Here is a 24,476-nt window from a genome sequence, read left to right as displayed (position 1 = left end):
TAGACTCTTAGGAGACCTTGGAGAACATTGACACACCGCTATGTAAATATTTGATAGCAGCTTAGCTTACTGCCTTTCTTTTGCAAAATATATGAATTTTGTCAGGAATCAAAGGTCTGCAGTGAAGCACACATGGTAAGCATTGAGAGTGCACAGTGTGTTTGCAGAATCCCTTTTGGACCGGCCGTCTCAGCTCCTTGGCTAGTCCCCTTGCTCATCGTTCATCAACTCGTTCTGCTCTGGTCGCCCTGGCCCCTTGCTACCCCTTAAAACCTTCAGGCTGCTCCTGCCTTGTGGCCTTTGCCCTCCATGCCCTTCCCTGGCACCCTCTTCTTTGAGGTCTCCTTGGGGCTTGCTCCAGCCTTTCCTGCAGGCCTCTGCTCTCCAGTCACAGAGGCAGTCCCTTGTAATGCTCTCTGGGTTAAATCACGTCTCCCACCTGGTCACCTTACACTCTTTTGTCTTTCTTCATAGCACTTTGTTCCTTGACATATTACACTTTTATTTGTTTATTTTTTATCTCCCTCAATTGGACTGTGAATTCCATGAGACCAGGAACTTTGTTTTCATTATTCTGTCCTGTCACCAGGACATTACCCAGCACATCGAGTCTGCCTTGTATTTGGTGAATCAATGAATGATCAGATGGACCAGTCAATCAGTTTGTATATTCACAACAGTTAATCAGCTTGTGGCACGTGGTAGGTGCTCAGGAAGTGTTTGAAAGAATGAATTGGTGAGTGAGTAAATGAATCTGTGCATGGTTAGTTGCCAACACTGGTGCTCAGCAACTGTTAGCTGGATAAATGAACGGTTGCTGGAGCTTACTCGCCTGTCTCTGGGGCTAGTCCCTAGCTTCTTTATTGGGGGAAGGCCCGGATGCACAATCTTTGATGTGTGCTATTGTTTCTGTTTGATAAATTCAGTTAGTCCCTCATTCTTTCCGTTTGTCTGCCATCAGCCAGGCTCTGTAATTAACTTACTGTAATTTAGCTGAGAGGTGAATTTTCCATTTTAAAGATGTTATAAACAACTGGTGCTTGTGCATCTTGGTTGTTGATGAAGTTCATGCCTAAAAGAACATGAGGGCTGTGTTACGTGTCTAGGGGAGAAGGGGCTGTTAGCCCACACCTGGCCATAAAAACATGGGGACAGGCTGGCAAGTTCTGGCGAAGTTGTGTTTCTCTAGCTCCAGTGCACCAGCATGCCAGCATGGGGGCCAAGGATCAGGGTCAGTGTGGTCATCTTCCTCAAGGGTCACATTTAACCCAAAGATTTGGGAGAAATAACATTTTAAAATTTTACAACCAATACTGATATTTGTTAAAGGAGAATTCAATATCACTTAGTAGTTAAGAGCAGGCTGTGGAACCAGACTGCCTAGGTTTGACTGTGTCTCACCACTTACTTGCCTAGTGGTCCTGAGCAAGTTACATAATCTCAAAACTCATTTCTCACTTCTAAGGTGGGAGCCTGTGATGCAGTAGAGCCAACAGCACGGGGATGTCAGGGATCAGTGAGAGCCACGGAAGGCTTTATCACAGTGTGTGCACATTGTAAGTAAACAACAAGGCAGATGTTTCATGTGATCACTTGATGTTTTAAGATAACAGAGGAGCCAAAGGAAATTTTATTCTTACCCTGGCCATGCCCTAACATGGCCTCCAGGGATAGGCATTCACTTACTTCTGCATATTTCAGATGGGCAAGTTAGGAGAAGCACTGCCTTAACAAAACCCAGTGCACACCATTGGATGGCTTGCATGCTTTCTCAGGAATTCTTCCCCAGCCTTGCCTTGGAGTTGAGCTGCCGTTAAGGAAGTGATGAATTAGCCATGCTTACTTTTAGTACCTGCTGTTTTAAAGTACCTATTTGAATAGCAAATGAAGTCGAGGGAACCTACAGGTTTGGATAAAGAACTGCCATCTAAGGAATGACGGTATATAGAGGAGCTTGTAATTTGAGCATTTTCACACACATTGCTTGCATTTCATTCTTATAACCACTTATTCATCAAGGTAGCGAAGACTGTCAGAATGGAAAGAGACTTCAGTAACTCTTGGGTCCATCTGTTTGATATGATTTCTGAAGTCCCTTCTTCAGCATCCTATTCGTCTTTCAGACCCTGCTTGGTTTCTCCGGGAGATAGAGCGTTCCCTGCCCCAAAGGCAGTTCAGTCTGGCTCCCCATAATTTCTACGCATTGGTTTAGGTTCTGTCTTTTAGAGCCGCAGCTAAATCTAGCACTTCTTCAACCTGTAATTTATGCCCTTTTAATATACAGACCTCTGGAGGTAGTGTTTCCACAACCTCACCTGGGCCATTTAACCATTGCGATTTAACCATTAAATATATGAAGTCTGCGAGAGGCAGCCTTGACTGGTAGGTCGGCTTAGTCTGGTGGACTTCAGCTACAGGTCTCAACTCATTGACTGATTGTGAAATCTCTTTTGTGGATCTCAACCAGCATTTTTTTAATGAAATGAAATATCAGAGTATATAAACACATATTTTCTAAAACTCTGATTTCAGTTTGTGTTGCATGTGCTGCCGTTATATTCTTTCTGCACATCATAAGCATTTCAAAAGCCATTGTTTTGGACCCTCTTACAGGAATTTCAAGTTACTTCACGTTTATTTAGTTATCATCTTTGTCCTTTTAATGGTTGAATTTGCTTCAGGTCAACTAGTTAAAGACATAGTAGCTGTGTTTCAGGTTGCTGATGGCTATTAATTTAACTCTGATTGCTCTGTAAAGAAGAGCATTTCCTGGCTGGCCAGGGTTAAATAACAAGACCTGTTCAAAAGCTCTGCTTCCTCCTTTTTCCTTACTCCACCTTCAGTGAGAGAAGCTGGTTGTGAGCACCTAGAGGATTTCGTGCAATCTTAGGGCCTGTCCTTAAAAGGCAGCCTTTCCTCAAGGCAGGAGGAACCTCCTTTGCTGCTGGCTCTGGGAAGGAGCTTTTGAGGACGAGCCTGCACTTACCCGGGCTGCTTTGGTCTCTAGACTGCCCTGAGCCTGGAAGTATTCTCACAAACAAGAGAGTCACCTTATCACAACTTGGTGTGAGGGATGTGACAATACCTCCAACTGGAAAGGGAGGGATGTGGCTTAGTTGAAAGAACAGAGTTGAGAGTCTAGCATTGTTTTCTGATCTTGAACTCTGCATTGGGGATGGAGGGGGAGAGGTGTGGGGGGACAGGTGAGGGACAGCTGTGGAGAGAGGGGGCTCCTTGGACACATGACTTAAGCTCTTTGAACAACGGTCAGATTTCAGGTTCAGGGCCTATGCCAGGGACTTTTCTTTTGTAATCTCATGTCATCCTCACATTGTCTTTCTCTTACTTTGTCGTACTGGCCTGATGAAACCCCATCCCTGGTTAAATTGAACCTCCTACTTTTTCTATGCCTACACCTGCGCGGTTGGTGCCATCCTGACTTTCCTGCTTCAAGCTGTGTGGCCTCCAACTGCAGTGGGCCCCAAGCTGGTGGCAGGTCATGCCACTCCTCCCATTCAGTCATCGCCTCCTGGACAGCTGTTCATGGCTTCTCTCTCTTCAGACTTCCAACATCTCCCTTCTCTCCCTGCCTCCTAAGCAGATGCTCTTCTTTGAGGAATTATTTTTCATACATAATTATTTTGTCATTATTCCTTATGATGATGACAGCTAATGCTTATATTATACCTACTATGTACCAGTCACTATTCTTGTATATCAGTTTTCTAGGTCCAATTATTAGCCCCATTTTTCAGGTGAGACATCTGAGGCACAGAAAGATTAAGTAACCTGCCTGAGGTTGCAGGGCCGATAAACGGCAGAACTAGGATTTCAGGCCGGCACTGCCTCCGAGTCTTCCCTGTGCTCTTGTTTACTGCAGTCTGGAGAAGAGTTGCTCTCACTGCCTTCTGTCTGCCTGCTGCCACCCTCCCTCAGACTTACTCCAATCTTGCCCCTGACCCCTCTTCACTGAAACTGCTCTGCAAGTCATAGAGGACCTGCATGTGGCCAGACCAGATGGCCAGCTCCCCCTTCCTCAGGACACCTTCTTCATTTGCCTTCCAAGCCACCATCGTCTTCCTGGTTTTCTTCTTGACTCCCTTTTCAGTCTTTTCCTGCTTCCTCTTCAACTCCCCCAAGGTCTAGACTTTGGATTGCTCCAGGGCTTAGTCCCCTACTCTGCACACACTCCACTTCCCAGCTTTAAGGGCCCACAGCTCCCAGGGTCCTGTCTCCAGCCCATTCTCCCTGCTTTGCAGGCGCATGCCTCCAGCTGCCTTTTCATGCCTCTACTAGGGATGGCTGATAGATTGTCAAACTCCAGCTGTCCCCACCCGCCTCACACCCCCTTGCAACTTCCCACCTCTCTCAATGGCAACACCATTCTTCCAGTTGCGCAGGCCTGAGACCTTCAGTCTGTTTTCTTTTTTTCACACTCCATTTCCAATCTCGGTAAATTGTATGCCTCTGCCTTCAAAGTGTACTCGGTATCAGACCACTTTGCACCACATCTACCCGTATCCTGGAACATTAAGTTTTACCTGAATAATTCATTAGCATCTTCACTGATTTCCTTGCCTTAGCCCTTTCACAGCTGCAGTCAGTTGTCCACACAGAGTTCTTTTAAAATGTAAGCAGCACCCTTCTGTGGCCCCATCTTGCCCTCTGCTGCTCCCTCTGTGACCCCTCAGCTCTCCCTTTGCTTTCTCCGGACTTGCTGGCCCCTGCGTGCTTCTCAGACATGCAAGGGATGCCCCGCCTGAGGGTCTGTGCATGGGTCCTGCCCTGCCTGGAAGATCTTCCCCCTGCACAGGTCCCTTCAAGTCTCTGGTCCAGTGTCACTTTCTCATGAAGCCTTCCCTGATCAGTTACTCTAAATTTACAGCCTCTGCGCCTCCAGCAGCACATAGCATCATCTGACACATGCTCTATCCATTTGTTAGTTGTCTGTCTCTCCACATTCCCTGTGAATGAAGACAGCTTCATTACCTGAAGGCAACATTTTTGCTTGTTTTGTTCATAGCTGCATCCTCAACATTGTCCCCTGACATACAGGGTATGCTTAAAAAATATTTGAATGATAGATACTTTTATCTTTGTTTGACAACATAGTAATTGAAGGTCTTAAGAGGTTAAGTTACTTGCCCAGGATCACAGACCCTAGAATTGCCAGGATGGGACTGAAACCCTGACATGCACTTAATTTACCGTGTGCTGCTTTTTCTTGTTGACTAAGGACAATAATACATAACACAGTTACTTTGAGGATGAAATGAATAATGCACAGAAAAGCACTTTATTAATCCAAGTGTGCCAAAAAAATGTGACTTATCTGATTTATTGAGAATGCTAGCTTTCATGTCTCTGTCATTCGGCAACCCACTCAAAGATTCTTTTGTGTTTCTGGATTTTTATTTGGGAGTAGTCAGTGCTGCTGCCACTGCTGCCAAATAACATTTTCTTATTTTTTCTGCCCTTGGTATGAGAAGTGTGTGTGTGTATCTTTTATCTGTCTGTAGCTATGATCCCTCCTCCCCTCCATACACCCACTGGCCTTCAGGTCAAGAGCTTTCCTGACCCCTGTGGCCTGTCGGCAGCAGGGAGCTAGTGGAGCTGGCACCTGTGTGGCTGTCATTGTTTGTTCATGTATATGTTCCTGGGGCAGACGCTTATGTTATCAGCAGGTGCTTTGCGGGTGTCCGGAGTCCCATCTTGCACAATTCTCCTGTCAGCCTGTCTGCCCCCTACCCCCACTCTGCCGCAGACTGGAGTGAAGTGATCACAGGCCCGTTATGGCTAAATACCAGGGACATAAAATGAAGCAAGCACACTTGATGAACCGCAGAGCTGCTGCTCTCAAGTGCAGAATTTATGTCTCCCTGAACCCAGGGCAGCTTCCCTGGGCTTATAGCATAAAGCATAGAGCAGTTTGGCCCTTCTAATGCCTCATATTGTAATAATGACACAGTTACAAGAAGAGATGGTGGAGCTTTCTCCATATATACCCTTCTCGTGTTGTTTATTCATTTGTGTTCCTGATTTTGAAGTGGGAGAAACATGCAGCCACTTCTTAGGGAGCGCCTTCAACTGTTTTTTTCTGAAGACAGGAGAGCTTTGAAACTTTAGAAAAGGAGAACAGCATTGAGAATAGTCTAGTGGTTGGATGTCTGGGCCTGGTTACTGTTCTCACATGGGTTGTACAGTGGGGTGTAATGGGCGTTAGTGTACAGGGACTTAGCATGGACTCCAGGTCTGGTCAAGCTCTTCTCGGCAGGCACCCCTTCAACAGCCTGTGACATCCTTGGCTCCCTCCATGCTGTAGGCCCTGGGCAGTGTAGGGGTGGGTGGAGAGAGTTGCACTTTTCCTGGGGGCCTTCAGAGCAGCCTGGCCCACACTGAAAACTCAAGCGGGATGTGGTGCATCTTTTAACCCAGAATGACTGCCCAGCCAGCGTGTAGCGGCACCTTCCAGGCATCAGGGCTAGCCTGATTGTAAGCAACAGACTTTACCTGCTGCCAAATGAGACATACCAAGAAGGCTTGTGTTCCTCTCACAACCTTCCCTGTGTCCTCAGCTTCCAAAGCTGATGAGCGGGAACCAGGCTTGGACTCTTGATCTGTGTCCCATTGGTCCACATGCCTTGTAGGGGATAGCCTGGCCTCCCTGGAAGCAGCTGCTTGGGGTGGGGGCAACACGGTTTCTGAGCCAGAAAGAGCTTGATTGGAATCCCAGCTGCACTATTGACTTTCTAACCACCTGGGGCCTGCTCTAAGCCTCAGTTCCCTTGTCTGCAAAATGGGGATGAAGGCTGCTGTGAGGCTTGCATGTTTGTGGAGGGCTTTAGTGCAGTCGCTTGATAGGTATTGAGCATTCAGGAAGCAGTAGCTGCTGTTCTTATTTGTAGGGTGGTTGAGAGGCACTGTGGGGTCACACAGGATGGGTGGGCTTTGGAATCACATCTGAGTTCAAATCCTCATTCAGTTGGTCATTCATTAAATACTTAACGAGTACTTATTGCAGGTTTTATAGTGGAGTTGAGATTGTGCTTGTTCCCAGCAGTCTTTGATGTTGGACAACAGCATACTTTACTGAATCCCAGTTTCATCATTTAAATGGGGGTAAAAATACCAATCTTGTATGATTGTGGTGGGAATGAAATAAGTATTTATAAATGGCAGCTAGCTGCTTTATTATTACAGAATTTTCTATTCTAACTCAATGGTTAGTTGCCTAAGATGAACTGCTTGTCTTAAAATATTCCGGCTTTGATATTCAGTCCAGCAGATGTTTGTTGAGCACCTGTTATATAAAAGGCATCATGCCAGCCCAGGAGAATATTATTACCAGCAAGGCACATTTGCAGTCCCCGAGAAGTGGAGACGTCAGAGGCCCAGCCAGCTAGGCAGTAGCTGCCAGTCAGTGCTGCAGTAAAGGTATAAACCAAGTCCTGAGATAGCACTGAGGAGGAAGCTGTTGCTTCTGCATGGAGGAGCTGGCAAAGGCCACATGTGATGGTTGTCCAAAGATGAGAGACTGCACAGGCAGGTGACAGTGTGAGGGAAAAGCGCATTCCAGCATAGATGTTCCATCAGCAAAGGCATGGAGGTGAGAATCCACAGGCAGGCTCAGGTGTGATGGTAATAGTGGGTCATTTGGGTGTGGTGAGGCTGGAAAGAATGAATGGGGCTGGGCTGTGAAGGCTTAGGGAGTTCTCAGCCTTGTGGGCTGAGCCTATGATGTGGAAAGCTTACAGGAGGGCAGTGTGAGCCCCTGACTGCATGGGGCAAGCTGTCCGGTAAAAGTATAATGCCAGCTACTCATGGAATTTAAAACTTTTCTAGTAGCCACATTAAAACAGAAAAGAAAACAGGTGAAATCGATTTTAATAATAGATTTTATTTAACCCAGTATATTCAAAACATTATTTCAACATATAATCAGCATAAATAACTTTTAATGAGCTATTTGGCATTCTTTCTTTTGGTACTAAGCCTTCAAAATCTTGTGTGTATTTTATACCACAGCACAGCTGATTTTGGACCACAGCCATATTGCAGATGTTCAACACATGGCCGGTGGCTGCTGCATTGGCTGCACAGGGTTAGCAGGTCTGGGGTGATGAGAGTTGAAAGTGATCTTCCTTGTCTTAGACCTTCCCCTGAGAGCCTGAACCAGGCTTCTCGCATCAAACCTTTGAACAAACCTGCCCAACAGCTAATTGGTACCTCAGGGAAAAGAGAAAACCTGGGGGATTTTGTCATGCATGGGTTATATGGTGCAAAAAAAAAAAAAAAGAATTCCCTGGTGTTTCCCAGATTCATGTACATCTCCACAGCACAGACCTCGCTGGACAGCAAGTTACTGTGTACCATTTATTGAGCCTCTGGTATGGCCTGTTCATCCACTGCATACTTCAGATAATACATTATTTCTAATTTTTCGATGTCTGCAAAACAGGTTTCTTACCCATTTTACAGAGGAGGAGAGTCGGGACGTGAGAGATTTAGTACCTTGTCCAAGATCGTTTAACCAGATGGGGCAGAGCTAAGGCACAAACCTGACTTCAAACCTGTGTTCCTACCATTCCTTAATAGGATCTAACACTCTGTGTACATTATAATCTCCAAATCGGAGAAAAGTGCATATAAGAAGTTAGCATGTGTGCATACATGCATATCTATATACATAAGTAGGAAAAGACGGGAAAGTTCTAATCACAGAAAAAAAATCACAAACAATTCTGTGCTGAAGAATGCGTCCCTGCTTTCCTCCTCTCTGCCTCTGGTCTCCTGCCCACACATACTGGGGACCATTTGGAGTGTCCCCATGCTGACCGGTTGCCGTGGGTGTGTGCTGGTGGGGGGTAGGAGCATAGCAGGTGGAGTTTCATTAGAATTAGTAGAACTCAGGCATTTGTGAAGTTTCCGTTTCCCTGGTTAGGGAAGCTAGAGGCCGTGGGGCACTGGCATTTGAGAAGCTGGAGGCTGCAGCTTCCATCCTGCCTGAGCTGCTTGCTGGGCAGAAGCCAGGCTGAGCGTGTGAGCTTCATTTATTTCTCTCTGCAAGGGGCTGCTGAACCATGATGGGGGCACAAAGTGGGCGAAGGGCGGGAAGATAAGTGGGGTACACCCAGGAAGGTGGGGACTGTCCAGGCTTCAGAGTCACAGATGTGGGTTTGACCTTTGACTCTGCCAGTCCTTTCTTTTGTGTCAGTGGCAGGGCCTTGGATTCTTCCTTGTGAAACTGGAGCAGTCATTTTAGGCAGAGCTCTTTCCAGTGTAAGGGACAGAGACCCCTTGGAGCCAGCCAAAGTTGAAAGAGGCGTTCATCACATACAGAGACACGTCGGAGTACCCTGAGGACAGGAACCTGTGTAGAGCTGGCCTCACAGGGGACTCGACTAGAAGGAGGAGAGTGTGGAGGCTTCTCTTGTGGCCTCTCTGGAGTGCTCCCTCCACCCCCAGGCCTCTCTCCCACCTGGCTTCCCTGGTGACTACAACTGTGTGATTGTCCAACTTCAGTGTCCATTCATGTCTCTTAGATTCTTGAAGTAGAGGCCAGTTGGCCCAGCTTCTCCTTTAGGCAAGCCCACATTTCAGAGGTCCTAGCAGATGTGCTTGAGCCAGCCCTGGCCCAGGAGGCCGCCCGGTGCAGCCCCTGGGCCCAGAGCCATGGTGAGGCGATCCTTAGCCCAGAGGGAGGCGGGCATGGACAGTGCTCTGTGGTGGCCTTTCCACCCTCCAAAAGTGATTGCTTCTTGATTTCTCTTTCCCTGAGTCTGCCTCCCAACTTCCCAGACTTTAAGCTGAAACCTTCTCCTATTTCATTGAAAAAAACAGAAGCCTTTAGTCCCCCAACCCTCACAGTACGGAGCCACCCCTCGCCCCCAGTGCCATCTTCCTACCTCCTCTTGTTGAGTTCAAAGGGTCCTTTGCCTCTCGAAGGCAGGTCTGTCCATTCAGCTTCTTGTCTTGCTCCTACAGAGACCTCTTCTTTTTTCAGTGTCAGGGTTTTCTCCCATTCTATTAGACCCCTCAAACATCATTCTCTAGTTTCGCTTATTATTTAAAGAAAAAGAAAGAAAAACCATTTTGGCCACACACATTCTTCCCACAAAACTTCAAAGCAGTTTTCTGCCCTGGTGCTGTTTGGCGTGCTGGCATGCAGACCCGTCATCACAAGCTACCGGAAGACAGAGGGGCTTGCAGCAGAGTGTCAGCCAGCTCTGCACTGAGCACGTGCCACTGACAGTTTTTCCCTGGCCAAATATTCCCGAGGAAGGAAGCAGTGCGTTCGCTTATGTTCTGGCACAAATGCCTCTGTCTTCTCACAGTTGACCTTCTTGACTGTCTTGGTCCCCACGACAGCACGTTCTCTTTTGCCTCACTCCTTTTCTCTGAGTACCCCATGCTTGCTCTTCCCCTTCCTGCCCTGTAGCTGTCAGGGTGAAAGGACTCAGTCCTGGGCCCTTTCTCTGCCTGCCTTGGACATGATCTCTCTTAATCCAATAGTTGATGACTTCCAAATACAGATCTTCAGCCCAGACCCAGCTCCTGACTCATTTATCCAATTGCCTCCTTGATATTATTTCCATGACGATGTCTAAGAAGCATCCTCACATGCAGAGCACTCAATGCGCTTCTTGAGTCCGCCCTTCCCCAGTGCCCATGCCCTCCCTGGCTCAGGCCACTCTGCCCTCTGCCTGGTGCTCTTCCCAGCTTTTTTCCTGGTTGGTCCCTTTTCACCATAGGGTCCCCTCCCCAGTCGTTATCTCAGAGATGCTTTCCCTTGCTGCCCCAGCTCACAGGTGAGTGAGAGCAGAGACGCTGCTCCTCCTGAAGCCTGATGAAGTACCCAGGATTCAGACGGGCATGTTTGCCCTTTAAATCCTGACCAGACCGGCCCTGGCCCCAGCAGCTTGAGGCTTTTTTCCATGCCTCCAGGAACTTCTGAATGCATCTTACAAATGTTGAGAACTGGTCATTGTGGAGGCTGGGGCCTTTGAATGTCAACTACACTTGTGTGGGTGGATGCAGACAGCAGCATGAAGTGCAGGAGGGAAGTCAGGCCCAGCACTGCTAGCCAGCCAGCCAGGGCATGGCTAGCCCCAGGCCTGGGGTGCCACCTGCCAGTCCTGTGAGGAATTTGGGAGAGACAGCAGCGGGCTCCGACAGGCCATTAGCTCCACAAGGAAATGGCCACGAATCAGAGTGCTGCTAATGGCTTGTTTCTTTTTAAACAATTTTTTTGAGGCCGTGTCGGAGAGAATAGGCTGCCATTTGCAGCTTTGAACAGGAATGCTGTCCATTGCTCTGTTAGAAGCCATGGGGTATTTACAAACTGGGTGACTGTTGGCAAGACATTTTTCCCCTTTGCTCCTTGGTTTCCTCCCTTCCGTGATGGGGATAATAAAGCCTGTCTGTCTGACTCACAGGGCCGTTGGGGTGTGTTCCAGGTGTTGGTATGTCAGCTAGCACGAATTCGCCGCCCGCTCTGTGCCAAGCCCTGAGTTATACAGCTTCCTACTCCATCCTCACCACGGTCCCGCGAAGGTGGGCATCACTCAAGGCTGCAGTCAGGCTTAGAGGAGCTCAGTGCACCCGTCCCTGGGCCGCCCACGGGTATGGGTGGAGATGTCTCAGCCCACCTGTACCGCGTCCCTGCGGGCGGGCAGAGCTCTGGGTACAGATGCATTTGTTTTCCAGATTCTCACAGTCATCCTTTAAGACAAGCTGTTCTCATTGTTCAGATGATGGCATGGAGGCCTAGTGGAGTTAAGTGACTTGCTCAAAGCCATTTAGCCTGTAAGTGATTGGTCCTGGATTTGAAGGCAAGTCTGCCTGGAAGTCCTTTGGAAGACTTGAAAAGGAGAATTGGTAAAGCCAGGGGTTCCTATACCTTTCAGGCCTTAAGAAAGTAATAGTAGGTGTTTTTTTTTTTCTCTCTGTTCCTTATTTCATGAAGGAAATTATACATTTGCCCAAATGGCGCTTCCCTTAATATTTGCTGAACCTTAATGTTTGCTTTTGATTGGCATTATGCCATCCTAGCACAATAATATTTGTCATCTCATACCTTAGGAAACTCTGCCTGATTTTGAATGATACAAAAAAGGTTTTGGGGTCTAAATGGAGTGAGAGGAATGGTAAGAGATTAAGTATCCCTCATAAAAACAGGATGGTGTCAGTAAGACCTTTCCCAACTCTGAGTTCACATTCTACCACCTCGGTCACTTAGGTGTAAATGTCATCTTCCTCCTCAAGATGATGACAGGCCACCCACTACCCTGGGACAAAACAGGGCAGACAGTATACAGCATAGGTCCCTCTGCTAGAGGAACATTGGTATTCAGTGCTCTTCTGCTTCCAAGAACCCCTCACTCCATGCTACTCTCCGAGAATATTGTAATGGACATCTGCCTTTGATATAGCCCTGATACCCAACCCCACTCCGTCACTGTGTTTGAAAAGTACTCTTCCTGCTGTACAAATTGGAAGGCTAGGCTGTGGGCATATGGGCCGGGGCTTGGCTAGTCACACATGCATGGAAGCTGGTGATGCAGAATGCTGGGGGGTGGCGAGTTCATCTGGAGACTGTGCCAGCAGCCACATCTAGTTTTTGGGGGTGGTCATGGTGGCTCGGCACCTCCTGCTCCAGTGCCCATGTCCAGTGCTGACGGTGGTGATGCAGGCTCTGGCATCCTCACACTGGGAGTGTGAGTTGGGCTCCAGTTATGGCAGCACAGCATAATGTCCTGCCCATTTTCTGAGCCTGGTTCTTTGGCTTTTCTGGGAATCAGTGAGATGCCAAAGGCCTTTAAGTAAACTCGATTTAAATCAGCTGAAGTCTGCTTCATCTGCTTAAAGCTAAGAAGCCGACTTTTATAGAGATGTTCCTCTGTAGTTATCCAAACATTTGTATTCATTCTTCTGGCCCCTGAAAGTTCTACTTCACCTGTTAGGCACCTCCGTGAGCTACAGAATTAACAGGAGAATCCCAGGTTGAGTGGGTGGCAGGACTGTGGGCTCAGCCGTCTCCCTTCATTATTACTGTGACCCGGGTCTCCATCATGCCCCCTAGACGGTGACCTCTGTGGGGACACAACTGAGTCCTTCATCTCTATCCTCAGCTCCTTGAGTAATGCTTGGCACACGGTGGGTGCTTGGGAAGGTTTGGATGAATGGGCCAAGGAACCAACAAAGAGATGAGAGAAGTTGATGCCTGTGGGCTCTCTGCAGCCTTAATGAGGCTGGCCTGGCTTGGGCAGGAAGGGGGCTACGTGCCTGGAGACTGCAGGCTGCCTGCAGTTCCATGCTGGAGATGGGCTGGGGAGATCATGGAACTTAGAGCAGGAAAGCAAGTAGCTAGAGCCACGAAAGGGAGAGCCGCTCCTCTGAGTGGAGGCGGCGTAGTTGGTGCTTCCCAATCCTTTCACCTCATGGCATGTACAGAACACAGTATTATTTGTCTGGTACCCAGGGCTTTGTCCAGCTGGCGCTGGAGCGGAGGCCCCTCTCACAGCACACCGGTGACCCAGTGCCCACTACTTAGAGCGCTGATCCCAAGAGAACTTAGAGCCTGGTGTGGCCTCTGTTCTTAGCCCTTTGTCATGTAAGTTGCAGATATTTTTCCTAGTTGTGTATTTGCCTTTAAGTGATTTATTTTTTCTTCTATTTGGTTTATTCTCTACTATCACAGTTGTTCTCTCTACAGGAGGTTCCAGCCTTGGCAAGAGGAGTGTGGCCCTTCCTGGAATCCCTCTGGACACACCCTCCTAGCATCCTCTAGGAAAGATGCGGCAGCTCAAAGGGAAGCCCAAGAAGGAGACCTCCAAGGACAAGAAGGAGCGGAAGCAAGCCATGCAGGAGGCCCGGCAGCAGATCACTACAGTGGTGCTGCCCACGCTGGCCGTGGTCGTGCTCTTGATCGTGGTGTTTGTGTACGTGGCCACGCGCCCCACCATCACCGAGTGAGCCCCGCAGCCGGCTGCGGACCCCATCGGCAGGGAGAGGAGGCGCGGGAGGGGGACGCAAACAAAAAATGGCTTTCATATTCAGAGATGTTCATGTTGCTGAGCTGTAAGCAGGAGCACCCTGTCTTCTCTGGTCTTTGACTTGATTAAAGTATCTCCGCTTTCTTGGGAGGGAATAGGGGATGTTTTATCAGTGAATGTGCCATACACCTTATGGTCCACTTCATGTGCCTTTCAGACTTCAAAGCGCGCGCGCATGTGTGTGTGTGTGTGTGTGTGTGTGTGTGTGTGTGTGTGCTTCTTTTTCTCTCCTAAAAATCGATAAGTAGCTCCACCTGAAGAGGGATGGAACCTCTGGGTCAGGAAACAGCTGGAATCCACACTCACCTCATTCCCATTGTTTGGATCATGCTTCTTTCCAACACGTGTTCACAATCTCCAAAGGGACTGTATTTCTTCTCTGTGCTTAATGTGATTTGAAATATGTTGAATCAAAGTGAAATATTTATTTTTTGAATAAAGGAGATAATAGCCTTAAACTGGATGCTTATCATGTTTTGCAAGGAGGTGCTGTCTGTGGGTCTCCCCCTGCCCACGGGTCTGCCCCTCTTCCCTCCCCTTCCCTTTCTCCTGTGGCTCTCTCCACCTTCCCCAGCACTCCCTCTGCTCATCATTTCTGAGTAAAATTATGCTTTTTGACCGATAATTTTAAGATGGAGAGGGACAGAAAGGGTATATTAATTGGCTTGCTTTAGAAAGTGAGAGTTCTAATTAGACTGTGACGACAGGTGCTTTTTACACCAGTTAGTTTTTCCTACTTCAACTCGGTATGTTTGTGCAAACAGCAATACAGAGTGATCCTGGAAGTAAAGGTCAGGCTTGGTTTTGTTCTTAGCTGAAAGGATGCAAATTGTTGGCATTCCAGCTGAGTTTTCAATGCAAATTGGCTGGAATGGTTGCCTCATTTTATTCTAACAGCACTGCTCAGGCGGTCCTGGTTCCTGATGGAGCAGCCTCTTTTTGGAAGTCAGATTCATGGTTACTGTTCTGAGGATGTCTGTTTTCCTGTCATTGCTGATTATGGAGATCTGTGGGGAGAGAAGTGCTTTTCCTAATCCCCGTGGCTGCGCGACTCGCTCACAGATGGCAGAGGCTGTTAGTGGAGATTTGGGGCCTCTTGGAGTGAGTCTCTCTGGAAGACGAAGCAGCTATTGAAAGGAAGGACTTCTCTGGCTGATGCCTGGAGAGCCTGGACTCAGCAGGCTGACAGAGCTCTGCGGCCCCGCTCTGTGAGCTGGTCTCAGAGAGACTCCGTGTCTCCTCATGCTCACTCAAGGGCCAATGGCCCTGGTAAGAGATTTGCTAAAATACTTGCCAAATTCAGAGGCTGCTAGCATCAAGTTCCTCTGAGGTTTCTGTTTTCCTCCCCTTTATTTGGTTCTGTTATGAACTTCAGTGCTTGCTGGTCTGAGAAAGACTGCAGGCCACTGTCCCAAGGACTTTCTCATTCAGGGGCTGGAGGGTGGAGGAAGGCGTCTGCGGCCATCCCTGCTCCTCACAGGGGCTGCTGTGCGGCTGATGAGTCCCCTTCCCAGGGCAGATGCTGTGAGGATGGAGCAAGGACAGCCTGTCCACTCCAGCAGAAAGACCCCAGTCTGCATGTCTTGCAATTACCTGATCAGCATTTAGTTCCCAGTCTACCACTCAGAATTGTGGATTACTTAACCCCACTGAACCTCAGTTTCCCTGTCTGTAAAGAACTGGTAAAGTCACTTTCAGGAAGGTGAGCCCTAGTAGAAAATAAGGCTTTTAGAACAAACTTGGGTTTTGGTGCAGATTTTGCTGCTGGAACCCCTCTGAGTCCACTTAGAGGTTATCTTGCCTCATAGGATTGTGGGGAGGGTTAAGTTGAAATAGTGTATTTGTAAAGCCAAATCTAGCGCCTGGGGCTTAGTTACTCATAGTTACTGTGTAAACAATAGTAGCTTGATATTTTACATATATTTATTTCTCACACAGCCTCATGAGGTAGGTATGATTATTACTCAATCTTACACATGAAGAAGCTGAGGCAGGCCAGGAAACCTGTCCATGTCACACAGCTCTAGTGAGTGGAGGAGCCCTGGTTTGTTTATTCTTAAGCTTTTGTTACGGTACATTTTAAACATATACAAAAATAGATGCAGCATGCCTCAGGTCCCCGTTCACCATTCTTCAGCAAACCTCACTGGCTGCTCCTGCCCATCCATCTGCACTGCCCCCACATCCAGACACCCTCATGTGCACACATTCCTTGGACTGTTTGGAGCAAAACAGGAGATGGGATTTTAAACCCAGGCAGCCTGGCTCCAGAGTCCATGCTCTTCTACATCATTAAAATCTGTTGCCTTTCAATAAATAATTTTTTCTACTCCCCTGGTCTAAAGAAACCTTGCCTGCCCAGGGTATTTGAACAGCCCTCACCTGGTCATGGTGAACAGCCTTTGATGCCATCTTTAGACAAATGGGCTGTGAGTTTGGCCTGCCCTGTGGGCACTAACTCCACCCAGCCTCTGGTCTGTTGCTCAGTGAAAGAGGAGCCTCACCTGGTAGCGATATGAGAAATAATCTTTTCCATGGGCTCCTTACTTAAAACATTTCAGTGTTCTTGCTTAGGAGATTTTGTATATGATGTGAAAAGAATATAATCTTTGGGAAACCGACATTATCTGAATTCTACCTCTGCCGCTTTCTAGCTGAATGACGTTACTCAGGCCCCATGACCTGAGCCGCACTTGCCCCACATCTGTGAAGTAAGGTTTACTCTCTAAGGGATGTTGGGAGGATATATTGAAATATGAAAATGGCATACTTTGTGCCTAGTACATTATGGAGGCCCCATAAATGGCCATTCCCTTTTCGTCAGTGTGTTCAAAAACTCAGAATATAAATGAAGGCCTGCTTCCCAAGGCTCTACTGGCCAAATGGACATGCCACACACAGTGTAATAGATCCTTTAGGTGCTTGTGGCTCTGTTTTCACCACTGTTTTTCTCTTTGTTGTCCATCAGGAGGCCTAGTTGGTTTGAACTGGACCTTCAGAAGGCAACTACTAGACAGGCTTGGTGAAGGCAGGCTGAAAATGGACCTTTAAAAGATAACAATTTTGATGTGAGTCACCTGGCAGGGACCAGATGCCAATTTACTGTGGACTTGCTCGGTGGAATTTTAACAATTCTCAGGGGAAATAGTACTCTCGTATGGGTGTACTTGGTAATGATTTGAGACACCAGGTTCCAAATTATTTCCAGCTATTCAATGGCTTCAAGGCAATACTGAATTATTTATTAGGAGTTTCACAGAAAGTCATGCTGGGGTTCCTGCAATAGAATCTAGGACTCTTGGCTTTCGGAGTCCTCATTACCAAGCCTAATGTTTCTTGAAGGGCAACTTCCGAGTTGGAGACAAGAATAGAAACCATTGTCATTGATTTAAAAGGTGTCATTTGATGTATTTTTTTTAAAAGTCCTGATACCAAGATGTGTTTGTGTATTCATTTTCTGGCCAACGAAAATCTTGGTGATTATCATTGTCATTATGGAGGGTATGAGACTGAGAGAAGAAGGATCTAGACCCAGTCTGCCACTCAGAGTGTGACATTGGCCAGGCACCTCATATAGGTATGTTGGACCATAGAATCTCCTGAGAGCTCTTGTATCCCAGAGATTCTGTGAACGTAGAGTTAACAAAATACCTATGTGAATGAATAGATTTACTTGGAGCTCAGAGAACCAACGGCACCTGGTCTAAGAGGTCTGAGGATAGAAGCTACAAGGTAGACTGTGTATCTCCTTGTGATCTTCCCAGAGCTCTATAAATGCAGCGGTTGCTACCAACTGGTCATGAGTCTAAACCTGTAAAGGTTAAGTTCAGTTTGATTGGTCCTGAGGCCGCCAGCTATAAGTTTTCCTGGTCAGTTCAAGGACAGAGCAAATATGCACCCATCCATCCTTCATGTGTCCTTCATGAGGTAAGATAGGGAACCTGCAGCCAAGCTCGTCTGTGAACTGGAGATGGTTAAGACATTGCCGTAGGTCGCTAGGAAAATTTGAGAGATGATTGTCCTTCCCTCTTCCCCAAAAGGGTCTCACACCATTAATTACTTGTCAGAGGTAGAAAAATCAGGAAATCTGTTGAAATTATGGCCCTCAGGTTTTTTTTTTGGAAGTCTACTATCACATTCCCTATAGCTCTGCCTTGAAAATATCCCATACAGGATATTTTTCAAAGATGTCTGCCTTTGAATGTATTTGAAACTGTCTAATTCTGTGTTCTGTACAATATTTGCCACAGACTTTTCCTTAAACATTAGAAATGAGATACAGAATTTTGGGATCAAGAAGATATATGAATAGCTTCCTCTAAATCTTTTGAGAGTATCTGTACTAGAATTGCAGAAGGGTTTGTACGTCTTCTGGATCCGTGTCCCCCTTCCTCCATGCTTCAAATATCAGGCAGAGCAACTGTGCACATATGGTTTGCCTCTACACAGCAAACCTCTTACTCTATCAGGCCTAATTTTTTCTTATGAATCATGTACTTCAGTAGGCAGTCCTCTTCTGAGTATTTTCTCATTACAAGGCAAATATCCCTGACTTCAGTGTATTTCAGTCTTGTCATGTGTATTATCTCCCTGCCTGCCAGTTCTTTGGAAAGGAGCCAGTCTTTTCAAAAAGCTTTTAGTCCCTTGAACTGTTGAGTGACAACTTAAGGAATGTGGAGCTGAGAGAGGATTTGGATGCTCAGTAATGTCATGGTTAAGGGTCTGTCTCTCTCCTTCCCTTGTGTTCCCTTCCCCATTGTTTCGTAAAGGTTGTCTGCTTTTGAATTTTCCCACAAGGAAACTTTCATCCAACCTTTGAATATTCCCTTTCCAATTGAAACAGGCACAACTGGTTACACGTGGATCACCCCAGCTTTTTCAGAAACCATATTAAGTCATTTGGGATCAGACTTAACTTCAAAGGCGCCAACAAGTTTAGGTTAGAATAAATTAAGAAAGCCCATTATGAACTCCTTTTGCAGACTCCTCTACCTTGAAATTTCTCTGTCTCCACCTGATTCTGTCAAAGGTCTGCCCATCTGTTTCCTCCACCCCAATTCTCCAGAGACATTGAAATTCCCCTATCTCACACAGTCCTCCCAGATTGGATTTTAAAAGATGTAACAATGTCTACAAAGACATATTTAAAGCAAAAATGTACAAAATGGTGAAAAGAAAAAAGGCAAATATGAACAAAAGCGATAGCAACAGTTTTAACATCAGCAAAGAAATATAAGGTGAACATGCCATGGGGGCAAAGGATGACATATACTAGTACTCTATTTTTATTTATTTATTTATTTTTGTGATGGAGTCTCGCTCTGTCGCCCAGGCTAGAGTGCAGTGGCATGATCTCGGCTCACTGCCAGCTCCGCCTCCTGGGTTCACGCCATTCTCCTGCCTCAGCCTCCTGAGTAGCTGGGACTACAGGCACCTGCCACCACACCCGGCTAGTTTTTTTTTGGTTTTTTTTTTTTTTTTTGTATTTTTAGTAGAGACGGGGCTTCACCGTGTTAGCCAGGATGGTCTCGATCTCCTGACTTCGTGATCCACCCACCTCGGCCTCCCAAAGTACTGGGATTACAGGCGTGAGCCACCGCGCCTGGCCAACATATACTAGTACTGTAATAAAAAAAAGATTATGATCATGAATGTGTATGTTAATATAGCTTCAAAATATATAAAGCAAGTGACTTGACAGGACCACGAGAAGAAATACATCACAATTTTAGTTGTTTTTAAGGTAGCACTTTTAGACGTTGATAGATCGAGCAGATGAAAGGAGCAAGTATATAGAGGATTTGAATAATCACATGAATAAGCTTGATATGGTATATAAAACTAGATCCTTTTACCCAATGGAGAATATAATTTTTTAAGAGTGCACATGAAAAACGTTAATAAAAATTGGCTTTGTTTTCAACTTTGATGGAAAATAACCCACAGATTCAAGAAATTCAACAAGCTCTAAGTAGGGTAAACAAAGAAAACCACACCTAGGCATGTCAGAGTCAAATTACTAAAAACCAAAAATAAATAGCAGTGGGCATGGAAATCTAGCCTCAACCTTCTCTACCATTTAGCACTTGAGGAGCAATGCCTACAAAGTTCTCGGGGAAAAAGACCAACCCAAGAGCTCTTTTGTATGTTTCCTTTGTATAATATGTTGCTCATTTAACAACTATTTTCAGTGTAACAACTATGTGCCAGGTACTGTTCTTGGTACTGGGAGATACATCAGTGAGAAAAATGTAAAATATTCCTGTCTTTATTAAATAGAGTACATTTTAGCAGGGGAACACATCAAACTAACATGTATAACTGCAATACATAAGCATTTCTAAACATGGAAAAATTAGGGACTATTTTTCATGAGTATTTTGTGGAGAAACCATAAGAGCATAGTGTCCAAACAAGAGAAATGGAGAAGCTACAGTAAAATAATTTGCTATAGGATTACAATAAAATCAACTGTGCAAACTATGGTTTCAGAAATGTTATAACAAGTTGGAAGTGAGAAGACATGAGGTGACATAAGTATTCTTTCTTGCTCTTTTAATGTTAGGACTTTAAATTATTTAAAGCTGATAATATACTTTGAAGTGTAAAGGTAAGTACTGAAAGAAAAAATAGAAATAATATAATCAGCTTATTTGGTGGAGGACCAGTATGAAGTGAAGCATGCTATTATTTTATTGTTGCTCAGGTATGGTGTCAGTACATAGAAATTAAGGGAATAAAGGATTAACGAATAAAGGTGCTGGAAGAAAACATGGTAGAGAACTCTGTATCGCTGGTCTGGGCAATAATTTTTTTGGATATGAACCCAAAAGCACAGACAACGAAGGCAAAAATAGACAAATGGGATTACATCGAACGAAACAATCAACAGAGTGAAGAGACATCCTACAGGATGGTTAAAAAAAAAAGTACACACTATATATTTGATAGGGGGTTAATATCCAAAATATATACAGGGAGACGGTTAATGGATGCCCCCCAAAAAGTGGAATGAATAAGATCTGCTATTTGATAGCACAATAGGGTGACTATAGTCAATAATGTATATTAAAATAATGAATGTAGTTGGATTGTAACTCAAAGGATAAATGCTTGAGGGGGAATGGATACCCCATGCTCCATGATGTGCTTATTTGACATAGCATGCCTGTATCAAAACATCTCATGTACCCCATAAATATATACACCTACTATATAATCATGTAAATTTTTAAATAAGAAAAAACCCCAAACCCCAAATATATATAAATATATATGGAACTCAATAGTAAGAAAACAAATTAGAAAATGAGCAAAAGACCTGAATAGACATTTCTCAAAAGACATACAAATGGGCAACAGGTATATGAAAAAACGTTCAACCTCACTAATCAGGGAAATGCAAATTAAAACCACAATATCACCCTTGTACCTGTTAGAATGGCTGTTATCAAAATGACGAAAAAACAAGTATTGGAGAGGATGTGGAGAAGGGAACACTTGCATACTACTTGTGGGAATGTAAATTAGTACAGCCATTATGGAAAATATGGAGGTTCCCCAAGACATTAAAAGTAGAACTACCATGTGATCTACCAATCTCACTACTGGGTACATAGTTAAAGGAAATGAAATCAGTATGTCAAAGAGGTATCTGTACTCCTATATTCATTGCAACACTATTCACAACCGCCAAGATATGGAACCAACCTAAGTGTCTATCAGTGGATAAATGGATAAAGAAAAAGGTATATACGCAATGGAATACTGTTCAGCCTTTAAAAGGATGGAAATTCTGTCATCTGTGACAATATGGATGAACCTGGAAGGGTTTATGTTAAATGAAATAAGCCAGGCACAGAAAGATAAATACTGCATGATCTCACTTATATGTGTAATCTGAAAAGGTCGAACTCATAGAAGAGTTGCAGGGGCTGGATGGAAGGGGGTTTGAGAGCTACTGGTCAACAATACAAAATTTCAGTTAGGAGGAATAAGTTCAAGAAATCATGTAATACAGCATAGTGACTACAGTTAATGTATTCTTGAAAATTACTAAGAGTAGATTTTAAGTATTCTCATCACAAAATGACAACTATGTGAGGTAATGCATATGTTAATTAGCTCCATTTAGCCATTCCACAATGTGTACATATTTCAAAACAACATATACATGATAATTATACACAATTTTTATCAATTAAAAAGTTAAAAACCAACAGATTCTGGAGAGGCCATGGAGAAATGGGAACGCTTATACGCTATTGGTGGGAATGTAAATTAGTTCAGCCACTGTGGAAAGCAGTTAGGAGATTTCTCAAAGAATTTAAAACAGAGTTAACATTTGACCCACCATCCCATTACGGGTATATACCCAAAGGCAAATAGAACCTTATACCAAAAAGAGACAGGCACACATGTTCACTGCCATGCTATTCTCAATAGCAAAGATGGGAAATCAACTTAGATGCCCATCAGTGTGAACTGGATAAAGAAAATGTGATACATGGAATACTATGCAGCCTAAAGAATGAAATAATGTCTTTTGTAGCAACACTGATGGAGCTGGATGGAGGCCATAATCCTAACTGATGCAGGAACAGAAAACCAAATACCCCATGTTGTCACTTATAAGTGAGAGCTAAACGTTGAGCACCCATGGACGTAAACATGGGAACAATAGATACTGGGGGCTACCAGAGGTGGGAAGGAGAGACAGGTGTGTAGGTTGAAAAACTTACCAGGTACTGTGCTCACTACCTGGGTGCAGTATACCCATGTAACAAACCTGCATAGGTACTCACTGTATCTAAAATAAATGCTGAAATTAAAAGGAAAAATCAGGAAATTGTAGAAAATATATAATGATCATTTGAAAAATGAAAAACCTTCCTGACAACGAGAAAAAAAATAAAGTAGCCATTAGGAACAACTAAGACAAAATAAAAGCTTATAAAATCATGACAGCACACACGAGTGAAGGAAACAAGCTATACAGCTTCTATATACATTGGAAGTTATGTATATTGGAAGTTATATATACATTGGAAGTTATTTTGAACCATTGATGGAAATAATGTAATGCAAAATATGATGACAGAAGCAAGACCAAACATAGCTATCAAATCTGAGAAAATGGCGTGAATATACTTATTTAAAGAAAAAAGACTTAAATTGGAATATAAAGGAAAACCTAATGCACATCTTATAAAAAAGATACACCTTAAAGTGACTCAAAGCAGTTGAAAGTAAAAAGATGGACAAAAGTATGTCAGTGATGCATCTAGAAGAAAGTAATACCATTAGAGGAGAGCTCAGATGAAAATTCATAGCTTTAAACAGGTATCTACGAACAGGAAATTGTCAGGGAAACAAACAGGAAGCAGTAGTTACAGCCTTACTATTCAATAAAGTTGGGAGCAAAAAGCATAAAAGAGATAAAGGGCACTTTATGGTGTAAAGTATACAATTTATAATGAAGATCTAGAAATTATGAATACATACAAAATGACCAAATTTATCTTAACAGAAATTATAGGAAATACAAAGAGTGATAGACAGAAATGTATTAGTAATTGGAGACTTTGAGTCTTCTAAATCCTTATCTTTTATTTGAGCAAGTAAATAAAAGATAAGGATTTAGAAGACAAAATATATCTGACTCATACATATCAAACTGTTCCTAAAAACAGAGGCTATGTATTTTTTTTCAAGTTTCAGAAACATTTACGAAAATTATTTACTGGCCTGGCTTGGTGGCTCACACCTGTAATCCCAGCACTTTGGGAGGCCGAGGTGGGTGGATCACGAGGTCAGGAGTTCAAGACCAGTCTGGCCAACATAGTGAAACCCTGTCTCTACTAAAAATATAAAAAATTAGCCAGATGTGGTGGTGTGCTCCTGTAATCCCAGCTACTTGGGAGGCTGAGGCAGGTGAATTGCCTGAACCCGGGAGGCAGAGGTTGCAGTGAGCTATCATGGCACTGCACTACAGCCTGGGCGACAGTGTGAGACTCTGTCTCAAAAAAAAAAAAAAAAAAATTACCTGATGTATGTTTATCTCCTCTAAATCCTGAGCTCTAGGAGATTCAAAAGAAGTTGTCTGTCTTGTTAACCCCATTTTCCTAGAGCTAAAAGAGAATATCAATAAATATTTTTTACAAAGTGAAAGAGCAGATAATTCACAAAAGAAAAATGCAAATGACCAGTATGCTCATGAAAAAAAAAAAAGCACAGCTGTGTAAACAAAAATTTCTGTTCAAGTAACAATAGAATATCATTTTACCTATCAAATCAGCAAAGCTTTTAAAAAGCAGAATGCTCTAAATCCTTTGCTTTATACATAAAAGCATACGTAGATAATTTGTCAACTTTCCAAAACGTTGAGCTGAATAAATATGAAGAGTTCTTTCCAATTCCCAT

At 44.6% G+C, this 24,476-nt stretch overlaps 1 protein-coding gene across 6 annotated transcripts in view; it reads left to right on the top strand.

Annotated features, from left to right (window-relative positions):
- Positions 1–14,512, top strand: part of SMCO4 (single-pass membrane protein with coiled-coil domains 4) — a 75,508-nt gene extending 60,996 nt beyond the window's left edge. For 3 of the 6 annotated variants that reach the window (XM_011542909.1, NM_020179.3, XM_047427266.1), the window contains one exon: positions 13,715–14,512. In XM_011542909.1, coding sequence (XP_011541211.1) covers positions 13,715–14,114 — 400 coding nt within the window. In that variant the 3' untranslated portion in view covers positions 14,115–14,512. Of the gene's footprint in view, positions 1–13,699 lie in introns of all 6 variants that reach the window. The other 3 variants (XM_011542907.1, XM_017018020.1, XM_011542911.3) reach the window with 1 other exon arrangement.
- Positions 14,513–24,476: the final 9,964 nt, after the last annotated feature.

Source organism: Homo sapiens, chromosome 11 (genome assembly GCF_000001405.40).
Source record: "Homo sapiens chromosome 11, GRCh38.p14 Primary Assembly".
Taxonomy (NCBI): Eukaryota; Metazoa; Chordata; class Mammalia; order Primates; family Hominidae; genus Homo; species Homo sapiens.
The sequence above is the reverse complement of the archived record's forward strand: the minus strand, read 5'-3'. Positions and strand labels throughout refer to the sequence as shown.